At 48.3% G+C, this 22,356-nt stretch overlaps 1 long non-coding RNA gene across 1 annotated transcript; it reads right to left on the bottom strand.

Moving 5' to 3' along the window:
- Window positions 1–10,347: 10,347 nt before the first annotated feature.
- Window positions 10,348–21,075, bottom strand: LINC00494 (long intergenic non-protein coding RNA 494). Its single transcript, NR_026958.1, has 5 exons — window positions 20,836–21,075; window positions 15,789–16,097; window positions 14,353–14,512; window positions 13,927–14,250; window positions 10,348–12,906 (listed from the first exon to the last, which is right to left on the bottom strand). It is a non-coding gene; the product is annotated as a long intergenic non-protein coding RNA 494 (long non-coding RNA).
- Between the last annotated feature and the right edge of the window lie 1,281 nt (window positions 21,076–22,356).

Here is a 22,356-nt window from a genome sequence, read left to right as displayed (position 1 = left end):
TACCCTCTGATTCTTTCAGGGATAGAATGCAAACAGGGTAAGATGTTGGCCTGAGAGGATCTACTAAATATTCATGAACTAGCAGGATATTAGTGTCTTGGTTATTCTAATCTCATTATAACTTCATCTATCCAGTAACCTGATACGGCAATGCAGCCGTGCGAGACTGTACAAATGATTCTGCTCTCAATGTCAACTGTGCAAGTTCTTTCTTATAAGGTACAACTCTTCCACTGATTTTCCTCAGTATAGGCTGTAAAATTCCATGCTCGTCAATCTCTTCTTAGAGCACAGCTCCACAAATCCCTGCCTCTTCCCCAGGCACACCCTGGGTTGAGGGCCCAGTCTCCCATAGCCCCTGCACACTCAAAAAAGGTAGAAGAGCTGATAGCCCTTCTACTCTTCATTACCTCTCCCAAATCTCTAATCCTTGACTCCCATAAAAACAGAAAAAATACTCTACGTCCCGGCATCTTTATCTGGGGAAATATGTTGAACAAAGCAGGTTTCCTAGAGCTGGAGAAACATTTTAAATCATCTCAAATTGTGCTTCATTTTCCCTTTTTCCCCCTACAAATGAAATAATTTTATTACAAGTTTCCACTGAAGGAAAATCCACTAGAAAGATTTTAGGCTCTGATATACAGAATCATATACATTGGGACATTAAAACATAAAAGTAGGTGTTTATTCCTGAGCTCAATCCATTGTCTTATTTTGTGAAGTGAGACCAGGCCAGAGATTTGCTCACTCAATGGCCATTAAGGTGAATTTGGTCACTGGTCAGAATGAAAAGGGGCCTTTCCCTGGCAGATCCAAAAGGGACACATTTTTGTCTAATTTACTAAGAAACCTTGATACACAGGCTCAGTGTGGGTCATTTGTCATTTAAAATTTATCATCTTCACGGAAGGTCAATTCACAAGTATGTGAGCTGTTATAGGTCCAGGGTAGTTAGGACTTTCAGGCATTTTTCACCCTGAATTCCAGCAAGAAATATCAAACCAATTGTATATATATATATATATCCTATTATTATGTATAATAAGGTATCCCATTAGTTTATACATATCCATTTATGTATGTGTCTGTGTGTGTGTGTGTGTATATATATATATATATATATATATATATATATATATATATATATGAGAGAGAGAGAGAGAGAGAAAGATATTTACTATAAAGAATTGGTTCATGTGATAATGGAGCTCAAGAAATCCAATATCTGCAGGTGATGAGCTAGAGAGTGAGGAGAGCTGGCAGTGTAAGTTCTAGCCCAGGTCCAAAGGTGTGAGAACCAGGAAAGCTAACGTGTGAGTTCCAGTCTGAATCTGAGTCTGAAGACAGAAGAAGGCCAATGTTGCATCTCAGAGACAGTCATGCAAAGACGAAGAATTCTCTCTTACTCAGCCTTTTACTCTATTCAGGCCTTCAGTGAATTTGACGAGGCCCACTCACATTGGGGAGAACAGACTACTTTACTCAGTCTACAGATTCAAATGCTAATCTCATCCAGAAACAACCTCACAGACACATCCAGAAATAATGTTTAACCAAATCTCTGGGCACCCAATGACTCAGTCAAGTTAATACAAAATTAACCATCACACCTAGTGACCCAGAACATAGTTATATAGAACTAACATTTCAAGAGATAATACTCTTACTTTGTACAATGCATTTCATATTTTACATTTTCTTTAGTCTATTTCATTTGTAAATGGTGGTCAAGACCCACCCATGAATCTCCTAATGGGTGACTATTTGTAGTATTGCAGATATTCCAAATACAGATGAAACTGTTTAGGATGAATTCATTCATTTGTTCACTCAGTATTTATGAGTCATTTATGGAGCATCAGAAGCATGCAAGAAACTGGGGACGCGTAGATTTTGCTTTCCTGGACCCACGGTCCAGTGTGGGACCAATGGGAAATCCATCAGGGGCCGCACAATGAGAAGGACACAGTGAAAGAGAGGCATGGGGTCAGCGTGACAAGAGGCATCTTAACTAAGCCTTACATGGGGTACAAAGTGGTGGGGATAGAGGGGCTCATCATAGAAGGGTGTCTTAGTCCACTTGCATTGCTATAAAGGAATACCCAAAACTGGGTATTAGGTTGGTGCAAAAGTAATTGCAGTCTTTGCCATTAATTTTAATGTCAAAAGCACAATTCCTTTTGCACCAATCTAATAATTTATAAAGAAAAGAGCTTTACTTGGCTCATGGTCCTGTAGGCTGTATAAGAAGCATGGTGCCAGCATCTGCTTGGCTTTTGGTGAGGGCCACAGAAGCTTTCACTCATGGTGGAAGGCAAGGGGAGCTGGCAAGCCACTTGGTGAGAGAGTGAGCAAGAGAGAAGGGGAGGGGCGGGAGGCGCCAGGCTCTTTTTAACAATCAGTTCTCAGGGGGACTAACATAGTGAGTGAGAACTCACTCATTACCATGAGGATGAGGATGGCACCAAGACGTTCATGAGTGATCCACCCCCATCACCCAAACGTCTCCTATCAGGCCCCACCTCCAACATTGGGAATAACATTGCAACACAAGATTTGGAGGGGACAAACATCCGAATTATATCAAAGGGGTGACCACCTGGAGGAGATACCAGTAAGTCTCAAGTAGGAAGGGACAAGGTGAAGACAGGAAGTACAGACCACCACCAGGTGTGGGGGCAAAGCTAGAGGCTAGCTGGCAGCTTTATAGGCAGCACCTTGGGAAAAATGTATCTTTGGTAGGACTGAAACACAGCTAGGATGCACCAGTACCTTAGTGAAATACAGTCCATCCTCAATATTCACAGATTCCATATTTGTAAATTTGCCTGCTTGCTAAAATTGATTTGTAACCTCAAAATCAATACTTGGCAGGTTTTTGTGGTCATTTGCAAACAGAAGCAGAGCAGAGAATATTTGAGCTGCTGGAAGCGCAGAACATGCTGAGGTTGAACAAGGCAGTGCTCTGCCTTGCTTTAGCTTTTAAACTAAACGAGCATCTTTTCATGGTATATTTAGTGCCATGTTTTTTGGCATTTTTGTGCTTTTTTTTGGGGTGATTTTGCTTTCTAAAATGGCCCCCAAGAGTAGTGCTGGAGTGCCGTCTGGTGTTCCAAAGGGTGGGAAGGCTCGGGTGGGAGAAACGTGGGTTGGATAAACTTGGCTCAGTCATGGGTTGTAGCACTGTTGGCCGTGAGTTCAATGTTAATGAAACAACATCTATTAAATAAAGTGCCTTTAAACAGAAACACACATAAAACAAGGTTATGTATTGATCAGTAGATGAAAATATTGTGACCACAGGCTCATGGGGACCTAACCCTGAAGGAGCAATGGCTTAGTATTTGCCAATTCAGTGTTTGCGTGACTTTATAGAACATATCTACCATGAGTAACAACAATAGGTTGTACCGAACTGGGGTAGAGAAAGAGAATTTGTCTGCATTTTGCTACTGCAGAGCCTGGATATTTGCATGAGGGGGGAGGGAGCCTGAGGGTTGCCACTGCTTGTTGTCAGCAGGGCCAAGGGGAGGGTGAGCTCTTCGGTGGGGGTCTTGTGGGAAGGTGGGACTCCAGGGTGCACTTGGCTGTGATGTGCTGGTGGCATAGCCACCTGTCCTTGTCTGTAATGACTCCTCGGTGCCAGGGACCTAATGACCATTCATTTAATCAAGAGGTGGTTGGAAGAGGTGGCTGTGGCTCCCTCATCCATTAGTTTCAGATAGGAGCATTGCTTAGCTAGTGGCGGCTGTGCCAAACAACACATTATACCACCAATGTTTAAAAACCGACAGACAACCGACAAATTAGTGACAAATTGGATGAGTGATTTGTGCCACAGCTTATATCTTTCTTAGTTAAGAAGTATCTTATCAGAGTTTAGTTTGCTTAGAAAATGAAAGCAAATAAATTTTAAAATTTATTTTACTATATTTGTTACTATTTTGATGATCACTGCTAAGATCCAGGCTTTTGACTTTTCTTAGCTCCAAGGACCTGGTTGGAGTGTTTAGCTGGGTAAGGCAGACCGAGTTCTTAGGCAGGGATCCCAGAGCACTGGTGTCGCAGATGAAAGGGGCTGCAGCTTGGTGGAGGAAATGGTGAGATTCAGGGGCTGGCCAAGGATTAAGGCAGCGGTATTTGAGAAAGCTTGCGGCTACTCTGTAAAGCAATGGCTACTGCAGAGAGACTGACCAGGAGGTAGCCAGCACTCCAGTTTACACTTTTATATCCCAAATAACCCAAGTATCACAGCAGGGTGGTCATGAGTGTAGCCTCTGCCCAAGTTCAAACCCTGACTCTGACTCTTGGTAGTGTAATCTCTGAGGACTGTATTTAGCCTTTCTGTGTCTCAGTCTCCCATTAAGAGAATGCATAACTGCCTCATAGCCTCATTGGGAGGATAAGAAGTTAATACCAGTAAAAGAGGGGGTACCTGATGAGCCTTTGACAGCTCTGGGGTGATACCCTTCTTAGCAAACCGTGCCAGTGCTCTACCTCCAAAACAGATCAAGGATACGGCCACTTCCCACCTCCCTCACAGCTACCCTCTGGTCCAAGCCACCATCATCTCCTGCTTGGACCATTGCAGTAGACCCCGCTGGCCTCCTTCTCCAGCTCTGACCCCACAACCCCAACCTGTCCTCACACAGATCATCCATTAAAAAATAAACCAGACCATGTCCTGTCTCTGCTGAAACCCTCTAATGGCTCCCACTTCCCTCAGAGTAAAAGCTGAAGTCCTCACAGGGTCCCCTAAGGCCTGAGATGATCCATCTCCGCCCCCCACCCCCGGCCCCTGCCCTGTAGTCACCCATCACTCCTCTACCCTCAACTCCCCCTGGCCCCAGCCACACGGGGCTCCTGGCTGCTCCTCGGCCTCATCCCTCCCCTCCCCTCTCCGGACTCTGTCCTCTCTGTCCCCTCTCCCGAATCGCTCTGCCCCAAGGCCCCAGGCAGCTCCTGCACCTCCTCCCAAAATCAACAAAAGAAGGAATGGGAGCAGGCCTTCTTAGCGGAGAATACTGCTCCCATGGGGGCCAGAGCTGGCTCCCAGAGGTGAAAAGATTTTTGTCTTTATGTAAAAATGTAGATGTCCACACAGTGCATAAACCATTCTGCAGTAATTATGTAGTATTAAAATTCATAGGGGGGCAAGTAAGAAAAAATTGCCTATAAAGATTCCTTAGGGGGTGATTATGAAATAAAGCTTGAGAAACGCTGAATTAGAGGACAGTCTGCTGAAATCACAGGCTTCTCCCCTACACATTGCCAGGGCGTTGGGGAGACTGTGGAAGAGAAATCAAGATCCATGCAAGTGCCTAAAAGAATCACAGCCCTTCTTCCTGGCATTTAAAAGAGGAGAAGTAATGCCTCACTGCTTTGGGGAAACCTTTTTTTTTTTTTAAATTTCCTGCCAACGGACAGACTTACGAAGGATGATATTTGCATTTTCCTGAAGCGTCTAATTTTCCCATTTATCATTTGTCAGAGCCCGAGGCCCTTCCTCAGCGAGTGTAATGTTTGCAAACATGTAAGGATTCCTTTTACCAAAGAACGTCACAGGCTCCACATGCAAATGTGTTTGTGTTGCAGAGGCTGCTAATTTAATGCATTAATGTCACTCTGCACCATGGTGGGGTCTCAGCGTGTCCCATGTCACCATGAGCGAGCTGGTCTAAGACACAGGAACCATGGAAACCATCCCGTGCCTGGTTAGTGAGTAGATGCGCAGTGGGGTGCCGTTCACTGCCTTGAGGGTGAACGTGGACTCCAGGAGCGAGGGCCAGGCCTTCTAGAGCTCCACCCACCCTGAGATCACAGGCCTGGCTCAGGCTTGCTGGACTTGCCCAATGGGGAACTTTCAGGGGGGAATTTAACCAGCCTGAGGGGCAGGCAGAGGAGCCAGAGGCCAAAGGCACCCGTGGGGCTCCCAGGACGGCTGTGAATCCCCTTCCCCTCCCTCTCTCCATCAGCGCCTCTGTCCTTCCCACCTGCCCAGCCCAGGTGCTGGCCAAACACCGGCCTCATCCGAAAAGTCCAAATGGGCCCAGGACAGTGATTCCCAGACCCAGCTGATCCCGCAGGGAGCTTTGGGTCCTGCTGGTCCCCGGGTTCTGGTGACAAAAGGACATGCAGGAAGGCAAAGTCCCCTCTGGATTTTTCATCATGAGCCACCCTAGGTGCTGCGCACTGCCAGGCTGCCTGATTCCACCAAGAGAATCTCAGGAAATGAAAAATAAGGTTTTAGTTGTTAAATTTCAGGCGTCGGGGCTCTTTGAGAGACTGAAAACACCTGGAGGTTGGGTGCACAATGGAGAAGGGGCTGTGGGGATGTTTTCTCTTCCCAGTGGAATCCGTGATTATTTACCGAGCAGCCTGGAGAAGCCCAGTCTTCATGGAACGGAAAAGCTGAGCCGGGTTTTCATGCACAAACCGGAAGCCGGGTGGCGCCCTCACAGCAGAGCTCCTGACCTCCCTGCCTCGCACGTCCTGGCAACGGGAGGGCGGCTGCCTTGGAGACAGTTTATTGTGTGGCGAGGAGGGAGACAGGAGAGTACAAGGCAAAAAAACCCCCAACAAATGGCTACGCCTTAAAAACTAACTTTAAAATGCCCAGTTCTGGCATTTTACCAAATCAGGCAGGTTTTTTTTGGCTTTTCCCACCATGTGACTGGGTCTGCCTTGCCCTGCCCCACCCCTGCTTGGGCAATCGTGCCCCCCGCTGAGCTCAGCAGCCTGGCGTGAGGTGAGGTGTCTGTGTGGCTGCTGTTAGCAAATCCACCATTCCGGGGATCAGCGCCTGGGAGCGGCTTCCCTGAATGGTGATGTGGCTGTTCCCTAACTTGCTTCTGGCCCAGTGACCTGTGGTGGCTGTAGGAGCCGCTGCAGGGTTCGGGCAGCAGTAGTGAAGGGCTTTGCTGCTCTCTGCAGTTTCCATGTTGCCCTCCTTGTCCATTTCCTCAGCCTAAGGAGACCCGGTGGCCTGGTGGACTTGGCTTCGTTCCTTCTTTCAGCTCAGGGGGACATGCATTTTTCTCCTTTGAGTCGAATTAGCAATGAACTTCCCCTCCCCAGATGGACAGCGTGGCATCGTCAGGGCCCAGCTGCAGCTTTCCGGGCCAACGGGTCTTCGTGCATTGTCTGATTTTGTTCTGACAAGCACACGAGGCCGTGCGGTCATTATTCCCACTTTACAGATGAGGAAACACAAGGTAAGGAACTCGCCCGAGGTCACAGGGACGGCTGGATATAAAACAGACTCCTGCGTGTACAGATTTAAAGATCGGTAAGAAGAGAATTTCAAATCTCAGCCAAAGCGAAGGTCAAGTCACTGCTCTTGGGGACGTTCCCTTCACACCCCAGAACGTTCCAACATGGCCAGTGAAGACATTGTGTCCCCGTAACCCTGGGGGAGAAGAGGACGGGGCTTAATGAAAAGTAGAAAGTTTCCTCTTTCCCACTGTTGGAGATGCCGGCGTCCCCACATCACCGTCGGCGCTGCATCTGGTCCACTTCTGGGACCCATTTGGGTCCCTGGGCCGGGGCTTCCTGTGGATGAGCCGGGATCACACAGCGATGTGGGGTTGCTCAGGGCGCCCCGTTCACTCCAGAGTGACCCCTGACCCAAAGCCAGTGCTGGGTGTTTGCCGAAACTGAAACCAGGGCAGGTCTGAATCAGACCCTGCAGAACAATGAGGCCTTTTGTGCGAATGAGGCGGGGGAGGGACTGGAGGAGACCAGGAGCTTCCTGACGGGGTCCGCAGCACAGGTCACAGCGATTGAATTCAGGAGGTGACCCTCGAAGGTCAGGTCACAGCCGAGCAGCACAGGCGCTGAGCTAAGTGTCCACAAAGGAGACGAACAAAGCGGCCGCTGTGGGAACAGAGTCAGTGTCGGTCAAGGCTGAGTCCAGGAGCTCGGGTCCGCCGGGCGGCGACGGGGGCTTTGTGCTCGGTCCCCCTACAGTCAAGAGCGTCCTCAGCATTCCCTGGACATGGGTTCGTCGGTTCCCTCGTGTTTTTCTAAGAGGAAGTTTGGTGCCTCTGACCCCTCACCCTGACTGCTTTGCTGCTCCAGAGTCCCCCACATGGTCACCTGTCCCAAGTGGACGAGCTTCAGTCACTCCAGGATGATCGTGATTGTTGCCAAACCCTTGTCATGCCCATGCTGTTTTCTGGCGTTTTCTTTTAAACTAAACCGGCTCACATTTTTACTCATGGTAAAAGTAAAAAATGTGTTACCTACTTTAACGTCCTCTGTCGCCATAATGAAATCACAGGTTTGATTAATAAGTTGGAATTTTTTTTCTAATACACATTAAAGTGAATAACTATTGAAATAAAAAATGTACTCCCCCTACTTATTGATATACAAGTTCACTAGCTTGTGCAGAGGCTCCAAATACCTGCAATTTCATGAACCAGAGGTTTGCTTTTCTCCCACATGACAGCCTCGCCATCGGGGGATTGTGGGGGCTGGGGGGCGGGGGCGAGGGGCGAGCTAGTTGGGCGGCTCCCGGGGCTGATCCTCGACCTGCCCATCTTGGGCTCTGTCATTGACGGAGGCTTTTCTTGTCCACCTGGTCCAAGGAGGTGCAAGTCACATCAGGCAGGAGGGAAGAGGAAAAGGGTAAGTGGGGCGTACTCATGCATTTAAGGGTACACTGGGAAGGTACACACCAGCTGCAAGGCAGGATGGGAAATTCAGTTCCGGTCCAGGCAACTAAACTTTGGGATTTCTAATGTTAAATGAAGGGGATGAGGGGTATCAAGGGTCAGCCCGCAGCCTCTGCCCCCTCTATGTGCTCCTGGAAGTCATCTACTCTCCTACCACGGGATCCCACCAGGGCATCCCACATTTTGTGAAAATTAGCTGATTAGGAAAGCATCCTTTCTGCACTACTGTCCGGGGTGGGTGGGGGGGTTGGTTAGGAACCAGCAGTTCCCTAAGTCATGGTACCGGACCTCCCCCATCTTGGGAGAGCAAAGGCTGTCTACTGTGTCCACCAACCCTGATGCACACCCACACAGCTTTCCTGCTGCCTGTGCTGAGCCAGGCACTGTGCTTGAGATGTGCACGGTATTTGACATGGAGTCAGGGTGGGTGGTACCCAGACTCCCAAGTCACTCCGTGGTGAGACAGACTCACAGGGCTCCAAGGACAAGTCAAAATAATTTGGCCTGGCCTCTTTGTTTTAGAGGTTGGCCAACTGGTGTCAAAAGCTGGAGAGGGACTCGTTCAAGGGCATGGGGTTCTAGGTGATGGAGCCAAGAGCCACCTGGGTCCCTGGGCTCTTTCCAATGAACACCACCATGGCCTCACTGGTCCTGAATGATCCCTTTTTAAATTAAAGAGATATATGGTCACCAAATCAAACACCGTTGAATCTTTCTGTTCCCTGCCCATCTTTTCCCAGAGACATCCACAAGTAAAGACACTTTACTGTTTGTGCAAGTTTCTTCCAAATCTTGTAAGAGCAAGTGCTTCACGGGGATTCAAGTTGCTCTGTGATCTCTCAATGCCGGCCCCCAGAGGAGGGATTAGCTCTCTTCCTCCACTTGCCACCATAACTCACAGCCTCCTGCATGGCTAAATTACCGTTTTCAATGACATCATCATAATCAGCATTTATGTCATGTGGCCAAGTAGATGTTATTTACAGCAGAGCCAAGTATGGCAATATGGTTGCATTTTCTTTCTTATACTACTTTTGATTTCTCTTGAATTAATAATTTCCTTGTTCTTTTCACTGCAAAATTTGCTTACAAATATTTAGTTCTTACCAAATCCTCCATCATTTCATCTGCTCCCATATTTTACAAGCTGTTTTGAACACAACCCATTATAAGAAGTATATTTTACAACAAGGCCTGGCGTGCGCGTGCACACACACACACACACACTCAATATAAAACTAAAATTTCGCAGAATATTCTTACCTCACTATAAGTAATGCCCTTTGATATTTTCTACTGAGTTCTGTTATTTCACATTTTAAAATGCTGGTCAAGACTCACTGAATGGAATTCAGGCTCCATTATAGAGGCTTAACCTGCAGTTTGAGAATTGAGAAGCTTGGGCTTATCCCCCAAGGCCCAGCTTCTCCTGTAGTCAGTCTCACCCTGGGCTCTATTGACTGCAGCCTCTGTCCATAGTTCAAGTCTGTCATGGGTGGGCTCTCAGGTGATGGATGCAGGGGCAAAGGGAAAGCCTTCTGAAGGCTTCCGTCTTTAACTCTGTGGCTGCTTTAAACTGACAATAAACAGATTACCCGGAGGAAAGGCATACACATGTATTACCATGCACATATGCCTAAGAGCCACACAAAACATGAGACTCATGGAGAAGCCAGATGGTTGAAGTCTTTATAGCTTGTAGGAGTGGAGGCTTGAGGCTTTTGGGGGAGGTGGTGACAAGTTAGAAAGGAAAGGGGAGGAACTGAATGGTAAACAAAAGTTGCCTTGTTATTCAGATAAAGTCTCTAGAAGAATGGACAACAGCCTTTCTGAGTGCAGTGAGGACTTCCAATCTCCTCTCAGGTGACCAGTCTTTCCCGGCTGTTTGAAGAGATTCCTAGGGAGGAGGTCATGCCAGTCACATTTCTTTTGGAAGTACATCCCTCAGGCAGATAAGGGAATCCCAGAGAGATCCCCTGGCCAAAGATCATGCTTTGGAAGTGAAGGAGAGACAGGAGAAGGTCAGAGAGACATGTGAGTTCTGAGGCCCTCTTCTGAGGTCTTTCAATATCCTTTGTTCAAAGCACTCAGGTTTGAACATTATCTTGGGGTATTGTTTTCTGAGTCCTGACACTGAGCAACTCTCATCTGCAGACTTCTCTTTGCTCCTTTCCTGGGATGCTGAACTTTTTCATGAAACCTGTGTTTTCTGTCTTCATTAATTTTCTGCTTTCCCAAACTACTTTTTTTTTTAATTAAAGAAAACATCATTGAGTAACTTCTAAATTACTTCTTTTTAATTGAGGAAAACAAAATTTTGAGTGACTCTCCAGCCTATTCTTTTTCTTCATCATTTCTCTAGTAACAATAAAAAAGGTGGGAAGAAAAAATTACAATAGGAAGGAGGCAGGAGAGCAAGTATGAGAACTGATTTGCACATGGTTTCAGTTCTGCAGGAGGCTCGTGAAACCCAGATGAAAAGCCAGACATCCAGCTACATACATTCCTGGAGATACCCAGATGATGGAATGCAATGTTCACTGTGGCTCTGTCAGAGCATCTCACCCTGGCTCTACGGACAGTCTGGGCAGGATACAACTGTGTGAGGACTTTCCTGTGTATCCTATGGGTACCTCCTTTCCTAGTTGTGACAATTGCAAACATATCCAGACATTGCCAAATGTCCTCTGGGGGGCAAAGTTGCCCCAGCTGGGAGCCACTGCTCTGCAGGTTTGGACACTGTGCCTGCAATTCCATGCAGCATCACGGGCTATTGATCATGTGTCAGACGGAGCTTAAATTGGTCGATCGCATCCTCAAGTAGCCACTCCAGAGCGTGATTATCTGACACCTGTAATTTACCATCCTGGTTACATGAGGGGCAAACGTGGAATTATGCACATCAGCGGGCCCAGGGCCTGTTTTCCATGGACTCAGTGTTCCTGCTGAGCGTGGCCTCCGTCTCCCCGAATTGTTAAAGACATTGACGCCTCAGAACTGACTCTGCCTCCACTTAATCAGCTCACCAGAAAATTACAATAAAAATCATCTGCCACTTATGAAATTGCCATTAAAATGGACTATTTCCTGCCACTTGGGGACAGGCTGCTGTTTCTCTTTCAGCATCGGTATCTGAGATGCTGTCTCTGGGAAACAGCGATCATAGATGCTGTTGAGACACTCCACTGGCCACGGTGTGTCCCTGGATTAAAACCAAAGTCACAACAACGAGTCTGAAATGTACTGAGGAATCCATTCCAAAGATGGCAAGAGCAATTTCAAACAGTGCTGCGAGGGCCCTTTGGGGTAGGACAGGCCTTTCCTGGCTATCAAGGCGTTGATCAGCTGAGAGCACAGGCCCTGTGCCGCCACGGCTCCTCCAAGCCAGCACTGCTCACTCCGTCCGTGAAATCCCAGCCAGGAAGGCCAATGTATCTGTGCCAGTGCCTGAAATGTCAGTATCACAAAGCCAACAGGAGGGGTGACCCGGTGGAGCTCAGCAAAGATGACATAAAACAGGCCACAAAGCTGGTTTGCCAGGATGCAGGAGGATTTGTCTGTTTTCTCCTGAGAACGGCTGCTTAGCTCACTCCACACAGCATTTCCATGCTTCATCTGTTAGCCCTGGAACGGGTGCCCTGGGAGGCACGGACCTTGGCAAGCTCCACTGTAGGGGAACCTCATGCTGACAGCTCACTCTTGTGGATTAATCCTGACTGTTTGCTGTATCTGGAGCCACCCCAAGAACCTGATCATACAGCACACAGGAGGGGCTGTGAGCGGAGATGAAATCTGGGCATTGTCTTGGTTGTTATTAATTTAATTGTCATTCTGTCTGAGCAGTTTCATTTTCGGAGAGTAATTTGATCGCCCTTTTAGAACCTTGATCATCTCAGTGTCATGTTCTTAGAGGGAGACATCCCTGGAAGAGGTGCCCACTGTGGTGTTCTTTTAATTAAATTCATCTGTTCCTGCAATAATGTGGATGAAACACCTGCCCTGCAAGCAAAATACATACTTGCTCCTATTCCCGGGACCCATAGTGGGGTGGAGCTGACCACAGTGTGTGCGTTAGACGCCACTCTTCAGGCAGGTTCACTCCTGAGTCTGCACTCCGGGGACTTCCGCTGTTTCCCATCGTTGTGCTCACACCCACGCGGTTAGCAAGTGTGCATCGGGAGACGGATTTCGCAGGTGCTGAGCTGCTGGGTGGGTGAGCCGGGAGCTGGTGGAGAGAACGCAAAGGCCGGATGTCGTTTGGTTCTTATCTGGAAGATTTGAGGTTGCAAGAAGAGAACTTTCCTTCTCTGCAGTCAGGCAGAGCTCAAGGCAGAGCTGGGCAGAGCCCGCCTCGGAGGCTCCTGGCTGCCCCTCTCTGGGTGTGGGGCCTGTGGGGCGACTCTATTCAGGAAGGATCTGTCTACTTGATGCAGGAACAAGCCCAGTAAAGCCTGCACTGCAGCTGAAGGAACGATCTGTTTGTTCTCTAAGAGGCCCCTGCAGGCGGGAGATGTCTTAAATAACCACCCGCAGGCAGAGAGTAAAGGACTCAGTGAAGAAAGAAACTGGAGCTCAGTCCTTTGAGGGCAGAAACGCATCCCCCACACCCGTCCGTGAGCTGAGCACGGCCACGCCTGGGCTTTGTGGGAGCCTGGCCAGGCCCAGCTCCTGCCCTTTGCTGAACAGGGAGTAAGGGGAAGTTAGATAGCTGCAGGGACGTCCTTAGCCTGACTGGTCCAGCCACCTCACTAGCACGTGGGGCAGATGAAGCTCAGGGAAGCCAAGGGACTTTTCCCGGATCCCCAGGGAATAGGACCTGAGGTCCCAGCTCCTGACTCCAAAATCAGTGCTCTCTCTATGGCCTGAGGTTGCTCAGCACCTGCCAGGCCTGCGCGGAGCACTTCAGAATCATTAGCCCATTTAACCCCGACTGCCACAAACACATGAGGTTGGGATTGTACCCCTTCTACACATGAGGAACCAAGGCTCAGAAAGGCAGGTAGGAGGAGGAATGAGACCCAAACCCAGCACCGTGACTCCAAAGAGCCCTTAACTTCTATACGCTCATCAGATAAATATTCTACCCTGTGACAATTAGTATTTTCTCAGATTCAAAGAAAAAAAAAACAAAATAACTGTTAATTGTTGGGGACATGATTCTCTAATTAGACTTTCGAGGAAATTCCCAGAATTTTGCGGGTTAACAGTGATGCTACTCATTATTATTGGCTTCTGTCCCTCCTACCTGGCCTTGCTCTAAGCACTTTTCTGGCGTTCAGTTGTTGAAACATCATCACAGACTTATAAGATATGATTCGATGCGACGTCATTGCCCCTGTGTTAAGGGTATGGAAACTAAGCTGGGAGAGCAGAAATTGCTTGCTCTAAAACCCTGAACCCATGATTCCGTTTCCTTGGAAATATGCTCAGGTTGGGGATTTGGAAACCTGTGGGAGGTTGTGTTATTGAGGGTCATTGTTCTCATTCTCCAGCTTCCTTCCCTAGATCTGTGTTCTCTGTCCGTGACTCTGTAGTTTGTGCACCTAGAGGTGGAGTCTGTTTTCTTGTCCTGTTGATATTGGGTTTGGTTGTGTTACTTGCTTTGAACAATGGGATGTTAGCAGGTGTGATGTGGGAAAGGGGTGCCATGTGCTAGCACAGCTGGTCTTGCCTGCTTGTTCTCCTGCCTTCCGTCATGAAAGAAATAGGCCTCTGATTGTCACTGGCTCAAGGAAGATGGGAGAACCTTGGTTCAGCAGACCTGGACCCAGCTCTCAGCTTGCAGCCAAGAAAAGCCAGGCCTGGCTCAGATGGGATGAACCCCAGTAGACCTGTGGACATGAGAATGAGAAATAAATATCATTGTTTGCAACTGAGTTTGGGGTGGTTTGTTACACAGCATTGTTGTGAGAGTAGCTGACTGATACAAAACTAGAGACCCAACATGCTGCAGCGTTCACAAGCACCTGAATGCACCTGCCCTCAGGGCCATCTTCTCCCGACACACCGTGCTTTCCATTGCCCTCAGGGCATCTTCTTGTCAGATGATGGGTCCCTGCCCACCGCATCATGTTGACCCCTGTTCCCAAGGGGCAGGCCCAAGCTCTTCTGGTCTAGTTCAATGGAGCAGTACCTCTGTGCATCGGAGGAGCTTTTGCTTGTTTGTTTTGTTTTTCTCTAATCAGACATGCAAGGGTATATTTAGCTCTTCTAATGCAGAGAAAGCCTGTTTGGCTACCATTATGTCAGTTTCTTTTCTACTTTTGCAAACTTTCTTTCACTAAACATTCATCAAACCTAGAGCTGGCCTTTTCCTGGTGACAAGAAAATAGCAGGGGTGTTTGTGTCCTCTTTGGATTACGCTGACATTTCTGTCCATCCTGACATCTTCACTGGAGAGAATCCAACTGTGCCCCCTCCTGATGACTGTTCCTGTTGGGAAGTTTCTTACTAAATAACCATCAGCATCATTATCATTGTGCATCTTTGGGACAGGAAGAAGGGAGGGCAAAGTTCTGTCCTAGACTATTAGGAGTCAAGAGGGAAGGAGACGGGAGCTGCTGACCTCTGACGGCTTCCCCAGGGGGCTCTGGCTGGGCTGCTCAGCTGTGTTGTCTCACAGCATATGCTTCACAGCTCCCTAGTACCTCAGTATCATTCTTACCATAGGACAGAAGACGATGGCAAAGCTCAGAGAGGTTGTGTAACTAGCCTGAGGTCACACAACTACAGAATTTCCATATGGAAGAAACTTTTGGCAATTACCTGGAAGGGGCTTCTGGGGGGCTGTGTGCTGCTGCTTTTGCAGAGCAACGTCACTGTGTATTTGTGGTGGATGTGGAGGTGAGATGAAAATGAACAGACGGTTACAACCATTCCAAGCCACCTCTTGACATCACCAGTGATAATAAATGGTCATCAGCTCTCATGTCAGGACCCAGGGGCACAGGCCTGGGGAGGCTGCTGAGAGACGCCACCGTGCCTCAGCTGTTCGGTGTTCTCATGATCCCTGGTGGGTGTCGGCTCATCCAAGCAGGTGCTCACTCATCCATTCTCTCCCTCACTTCCTCATTCTCTCTCCCACTCTCCCGCTCACTTGCTGCTCACCTGCCACGTCTTCCAGGTAAAGGCGTCTGAATGGGGCCATTCACGGGTTGACTGCTCCTCTCCCACCTTTTCCGTTCTCACTGTCTCCACACCAGACCCCACAACCACAGGGCCTCCAAAGACTCACTTTGCTTCAACTGCTCTCCCCTGCCCTGGGTTTGACTTAAGCAACACCTTTGCTTGACCAAGCATGAAGGTTGCTGAGACAGAAAGAAAGTCTTCATGTCTTGGTAATCCCCCTGGCCTAGGGCTGCCCACTGGCCTGTGTGTTATCCTTCGAGAATCATCTGAGGAGTGATGAGGCCTATCCTAGCAGAAAGAAGACAATTGTTGGGATGGCAGGATGACCCTGTGGGTATTTCTTTACTGCTAACTTGAAAGCATCCTCAATGCCTCAGTGCCCAGTCCTGTATATTTCTTCAATCAGAAGTTCAGTAATGGGGGAACGGAAAGTAAGCAGGAAATAGAAGAAACCAGACTAATTGATCTGATGAGGAGAAAGGGAAGGCAGGTGTAAAGATAGTTGCTGTAAAAGTTGTTGTGAAAACATCTGAAAGAATCATATTCTCTATGGCCACTGGAGCTCAGTAAGATCAAGCCACAGTTTGAATACTGTTAGAATAAGCTATATATAAAAACACATTTTTTGCCTACTGAGGCAGTGGGGCACTTATATAGTCATTTCATTAGTGCCTTGTTTTAAGTAAATATGTTAGAACTTAGGGAGGAGTAAGGACTAGCCTCAGGTTCAAGAAAGATAGGATCATCTTCTCCCAGATCTGTAGCAGGTGTGGAAAGCTCTTTGTTCTGGACTTAGAGATGTGAAGATGAGGGTGAGAGCCTAGAGCTGCCATTGACCATCTTGCTGCAGAGCAAGAGAGTGGCCCAAGAATGGAGCCCAAACCTGAGCAATCAGAGCCAATGATGGAGAGAGCATGGGTCCTGAGAATGTCATTTGACACCTGGATCTACCCATGCCTGCAACCCACACTGCCCCCAGAGTTCTCTGCTAACAGAATCAACACATTTAATTAGAAATCTTCTTTTAAAAAGCTGGGTTGAATTGGCTTCCTGTTGTTTGTAATCTAAAACTCCAGACTCATACTCACCTAAAATTTCAGGAGTCATTGATTAAAAAGCAACATCATGTCCAGTTAAAATGGTTTGTCCACCAGGTTCCATAACAAGGCTCCTAAGGACTGTGAAGTCAGATAGAGCTTTTCCTTCCAGAAAATGGCATTGTGGTGACAATGGTGCAGTTGACCCCTTAGATATAGAGCCAGAGCCAGAGTCATTTTTTTTTTTTTGAGACAGAGTCTCACTCTGTCACCAGGCTGGAGTGCAGCAGCGCAATCTAGGCTCACTGCAACCTCTGCCTCCTGGGTTCAAGTGATTCTCCTGCCTCAGCCTCCTGAGCAGCTGGGATTACAGGCACGTGCCACCACGCCCAGCTAACTTGTATCTTTAGTAGAGATGGGTTTTCACCATGTTGGCCAGGATGGTCTCCATCTCCTGACCTCGTGATCTGCCCGGCTTGCCTCCCAAAGTGCTGGGATTACAGGTGTTAGCCACTGCACCTGGCCACCAGAGTCACTTTTTATAAAAAGAAGAGAAACTTGTGAAAAATCATTCATGATTCCATGAAAGGAACAATTCAATATTAAACAGTAGGCCAAAAGCTTAAACTTTTATATTAAATCCAAATGAGCTTAAAACTATATGGACTGGGCCTGGCAGGGTGGCTCACATCTGTAATCCTAGCACTTTGGGAGGCCGAGGCGGGCAGATCACTTGAGCCAGGAATTCAACACCAGCTTGAGCAACATGGCGAAACCTCATCTCTCCCAAAAATGCAAAAATTAGCCAGATGTGGTGGCACACGCCTGTAGTCCCAGCTACTCAGGAGGCTGAGGCAGGAGGATCTCTTGAACCCTGGAGGTGGAGGTTGCAGTGGGCTGAGATCGTGCCACTGGACTCCAGCCTGGGTGACCGTGTGAAACCCTACCTCAAAAAACAAACAAACAAACAAACAAACAAACAAAAACCTATATGAACTGATTTCTTAAGCCCAAAGAGCCTTAGTTGACCCATCAACTTTAAACTGGAGATAACTGATTTTCCACTGTTTTTCTGTCTGGTACAAAGAAATGGGAAAGTGAAGTGTCCCTCACATAATGCCCACCCAGCAACTGGCCACCTAACAACTTTGAAGTGGCCCAGTGTCTCTTCCACCCTCTCATGGCAGAGACGGAAGCACCAGAGGCTTATGTGTGCCTCAGTGGAGCTTCCATTCCCAGTGGTACTCAGGGCCTCGTGGACTTGCCCCAGAGCAGACTCTTTCATATGGAGCTAAAAAATAAGACAGAAAGCTGTAGGGATGCCCTATGTTTAAGAAAGAAATTACTTTGCATCAAATTATTTAGTGTTTCCCATGGTTCGGTGGCTCTTTGTGCTAAAAGGTCAGACCCAGCAGGGGCCCTGTGCCTTGGTCTGGATTTGTACTTGAAAGAGGAGGTGCTGGAGTGGCCGGGCACGGTGGCTCACGCCTGTAATCCCAGCACTTTGGGAGGCTGAGATGGGCAGATCACAAGGTCAAGAGATTGAGGCCATCCTGGCTAACACGGTGAAACGCTGTTTCAACTAAAAATACAAAAAAATTAGCTGGTGTCGTGGTGGGCACCTGTAGTCCCAGCTACTTGGGAGGCTGAGGCAGGAGAATGGCATGAACCTGGGAGGCGGAGCTTGCAGTGAGCCGAGATCGCGCCACTGCACTCCAGCCTGGGCGACAGAGGGAGACTCCGCCTCAAAAAAACAAAAAACAACAACAACAAAAAAACAGGAGGTGCTGGTGGGGTCACTGGGAGCCCGCGCTCACTCCTGGTGGAGACCCGCAGTTCCTCGGTGCAACTGCAGCCTAGTGGGTTCAACAACATCCTTCATACCCACCTTAACCTCAGCAAATAGAACTGCGAGAAAGCATTAGGATTTGGTTTCAAACTTAAAGTTAGGTTTTCTTTCTTCCTGTTTATAAAGTGAAATTAGGGCAACAAAGTGAGACCCTGTCTCTACAAAAAAATTTTAAAAACTAGTGGGGTGTGGCGGGGTGCGCCTTTAGTTCCAGTTACTCAGGAGGCTGAGGTGGGAGGATCGCTTGAGCCCAGGATTTTGAGGCTGCAGTGAACTACGATTGCGCCACTGTAATGTAGCCTGAGTAACAGAGTGAGACCTTGTCTCAAAAAATACATTAAATTAACAAATAAACTGAAATTATAATGAGAGTGATTCAAATCTTTCGAAACTAAGGAAGTTCATGGCAGTGTTATTTATAATAACCAAACAAAACAAAACAAAACAAAAAAAACTGGCATCCAGCAATAGAGGACTACTGAAGGCAATTATCATATATCTATGTGATGGAATATTCTGAAGAGATTAAAATTTCTGTTTTGAAGCCTGCTTTATGACATAAAGAAATGTAAGCAACCAGCCTGACCAACATGGCGAAATTCCGTCTCTACCAGAAATACAAAAAATTAGCCGGGCGCCTATAATCCCAGCTACTCAGGGAGGCTGAGACGGGAATTGCTTGAACCTTGGAGGTGGAGGCTGCAGTGAGCCGAGATCGCGCCATTGCACTCCAGCCTGAGCAATAAGAGCGAAACTCTGAAAAAAAAAAAAGAAAGAAAAGAAAAATGAATAAATGTAGGTGATGTAATTTGATGTCAACTCAAGGCAGATTCTGAAGAGTACACGTTCAAACTAAATCCCAGTTTCATAAACCAAGTAGAGTTTTTTATTTTATTTTATTTATTTTTATTTTTATTTTTATTTTTTTTTGAGACGGAGTCTCACTCTGTTGCCCAGGCTGGAGTGCAGTGGTGCGATCTCAGCTCACTGCAAGCTCCGTCTCCCGGGTTCACGCCATTCTCCTGCCTCAGCCTCCCGAGTAGCTGGGACTACAGGCGCCTGCTTACCACACCCGGCTAATTTTTTGTATTTTTAGCAAGAGATGGGGTTTCACCATGTTAGCCAGGATGGTCTCGATCTCCTGACCTCATGATCCGTCCGCCTCAGCCTCCCAAAGTGCTGGGATTACAGGCGTGAGCCACCGCGCCCGGCCATAAACCAAGTAGAGTTCTTACATGTGCATTAAAAATGCTGGACGAAGTCGAATTTTATTTTTTGTCTATATTCTAGGAATAGTTTATAAACTTTCTATTACCTTTTACATCAGAAAATAAATAAACAGCCTTAAGAATAAAACTATAATAAAAGTATAGAGCAGCCTTGAGGTATGACGTGTAACTGTTTTACCATCTGGGACATTTTTAAGCTTCACAAACTCTCCCTTCTTTGTTGGGATGCCCCAGGGCAGGGACCCTGTCTCCTTTCGGTCTTGGTGGCGCCAGGAACACATCAGGGCTCAATAAATAATTGATAACAACAAAGACCCCCAAAGGAGTCCCTTCACTTTGGGTGGCCTGCTGAACTCCTCAAGGCTTTCTCTTAAGTGCATTTCATTTGTTTTGAATTTTTTTCAACTTAAATGGTTGAAAATCAAAGCCAGGAGAGAGCTGTTGGCTTGTGGAGAGCTGGAAAAGAGAAAAATAAAGAGTGAGTACAGTCCCTGCGGGGCCACAGCGTGGGGCCTGGACCTGGGCACCTGCAGCTTCTGAAAGTCCCTTCTCGGGAGACGGAAGGAGAGGCTTTCATTCACATCCTAAAGCGAGATGAAACCACTTTCTGGTTCCTTTTTTGAAAACGGGTGTTTTTGTACCCAGATGGGCTCTGAGGCATATGATCTAAGAGTCAAAAAAGATTGGATGGTGCATGAAAAAACACTGAAAATCCTTAGTATAAGAAAGGTGGACTTGGAGATTAGAGAGAACGGTCCCTGCATCGGAGTCACTTGCTAACAGGTGTGTACTGAGTACCCACCCCTGCCAGGCACTGCTCTGAGTGCCGGGACAGAGCAGGGAACAAAACACCCCCACCCCTCCCGCCCCCGCCCCCGCCCCCGCCCCGCCCCACCTCACGAGTTACTCACGAGTCTGGAGGACAAGCAGTAGCCATTGAACCTGCAACTGCATGATGTGCGGGAGGTGGGGGCTGTTCTAAAGGACGATAGAGGTGAAGGGCAAGGCCGTGTCAGGGGTCAGGAGGCCTCTCTGAGGAGGTGGGCAAGCCCTGGGAAGAGCACCCCAAGCAGAGGCACAGCAGGTGCACAGGCCCCGGGGTAGGAGAGACCTTGGTGATCCTGGGTGAGGAACAGCAGGGAGGTGGGTGTGGCTGGAGCCACGTGACCCAGGGGGAGGTGGGAGGAGATGAGGTCACAGGAGAGGGCGTGGAGTGAAGCAGTGAGGGGTGACCTGTGGCCTGTGGTCACTGTCTCCAGGTGAGCAGGCTCTGGTGGAGAGCCAGGGCTCTCAGGGGTGGTCCTAGGGGCAGCAGCATCAGCACCCCGGGGCCCTGCTGGGAAAGCCAGCTCTGGGCTCTGCTGAGACCTCCTGAATCAGAACCTCAGGGTGGGCCTGGCCATCGGAGTTTTAACAAGGCCTCCAAAACATTCTGACACTCACCAGAGTCTGAGAGACACAGCAGAGCTAGAATCTGGGCTCCAGTTTTCACCCAGGAGACAGGAGGATTCTGGGTGGAAGGGCAGGAGGGACTGGGGTCCCCCCTAGAAGGAGCGCCCCAGGAGGACGCCACACAGGTGGACATTCGCTCCTCCTGGGAATGGTCTCTAAGGGTTCCTTGGACAGGAAAGTGGCTCTCTGAGCTGCCTTAGCGTTGGAGATGCTGGGGTGAGTGCCCCAGGAGCAGGCCTGCACCTGTGACTGAGGGGCGGGGAATAAACACCCCAGCTTCCCCTGTGTCTGGGTGACTCTGAGGGGCGTCCCGTACACAGATCCCAGGCTGCTCAGCAGGATCGAGTTGGGAAGGGGGTGTCAGGACAGGAAGCAGCATGACTAGAGGTGGAAGAACCTTGGCATATGCAGGGCACTGTGTGTAATTCCATCGGGCTGCAGTGTAAGCTTGCAGAGAGGAGGAGGGAGAGTGGAGTGAGATGGAAAGTGACTGATGAAATGTATGTCTCCCCAGGAACGTCGGTCACGGATAAGCCCCCAGTGAAGGGACTTAGGAAGCCTCTCCCCCTTCGTGTTCTTTCCCCAGAGAGTCTTCCGAGATGGAAATGCTTGCAAGGAAGGAAGAGACACTTTCTATCTTCTGCCATCAGAAGCACAGAAGGGTGAAGCCAGGCACACCCAGAGAAGCATCTCATGTTGTGTGTGGCTGCTGCAGCGCTCTCTTGGGCCCTGGGGCAGGAGATGCTCAAAGGTCAACAGGACTTGGGAAGGCAGCTGTGAGTAAAGCCCCCAGTCCTGGTCCTGGACTCACTGCACCAGGGACCCCAAGGGGCTAAACATGACTGGATTGTAGCAAGCCATTTTCAACATGCAAAGAAGCAACCAGGAAGAATGTCTAATTACAGATGTGCTATTTCTCTCCTCTTTCTTCTTCAACTTTCTCATTACCCTCAGTGACATCACAGCAGCTTCCCCTTGTC

Source organism: Homo sapiens, chromosome 20 (genome assembly GCF_000001405.40).
Source record: "Homo sapiens chromosome 20, GRCh38.p14 Primary Assembly".
NCBI lineage: Eukaryota > Metazoa > Chordata > Mammalia > Primates > Hominidae > Homo > Homo sapiens.
Note: the sequence above shows the minus strand (reverse complement) of the source record. Positions and strands in the feature narration are given on the sequence as shown.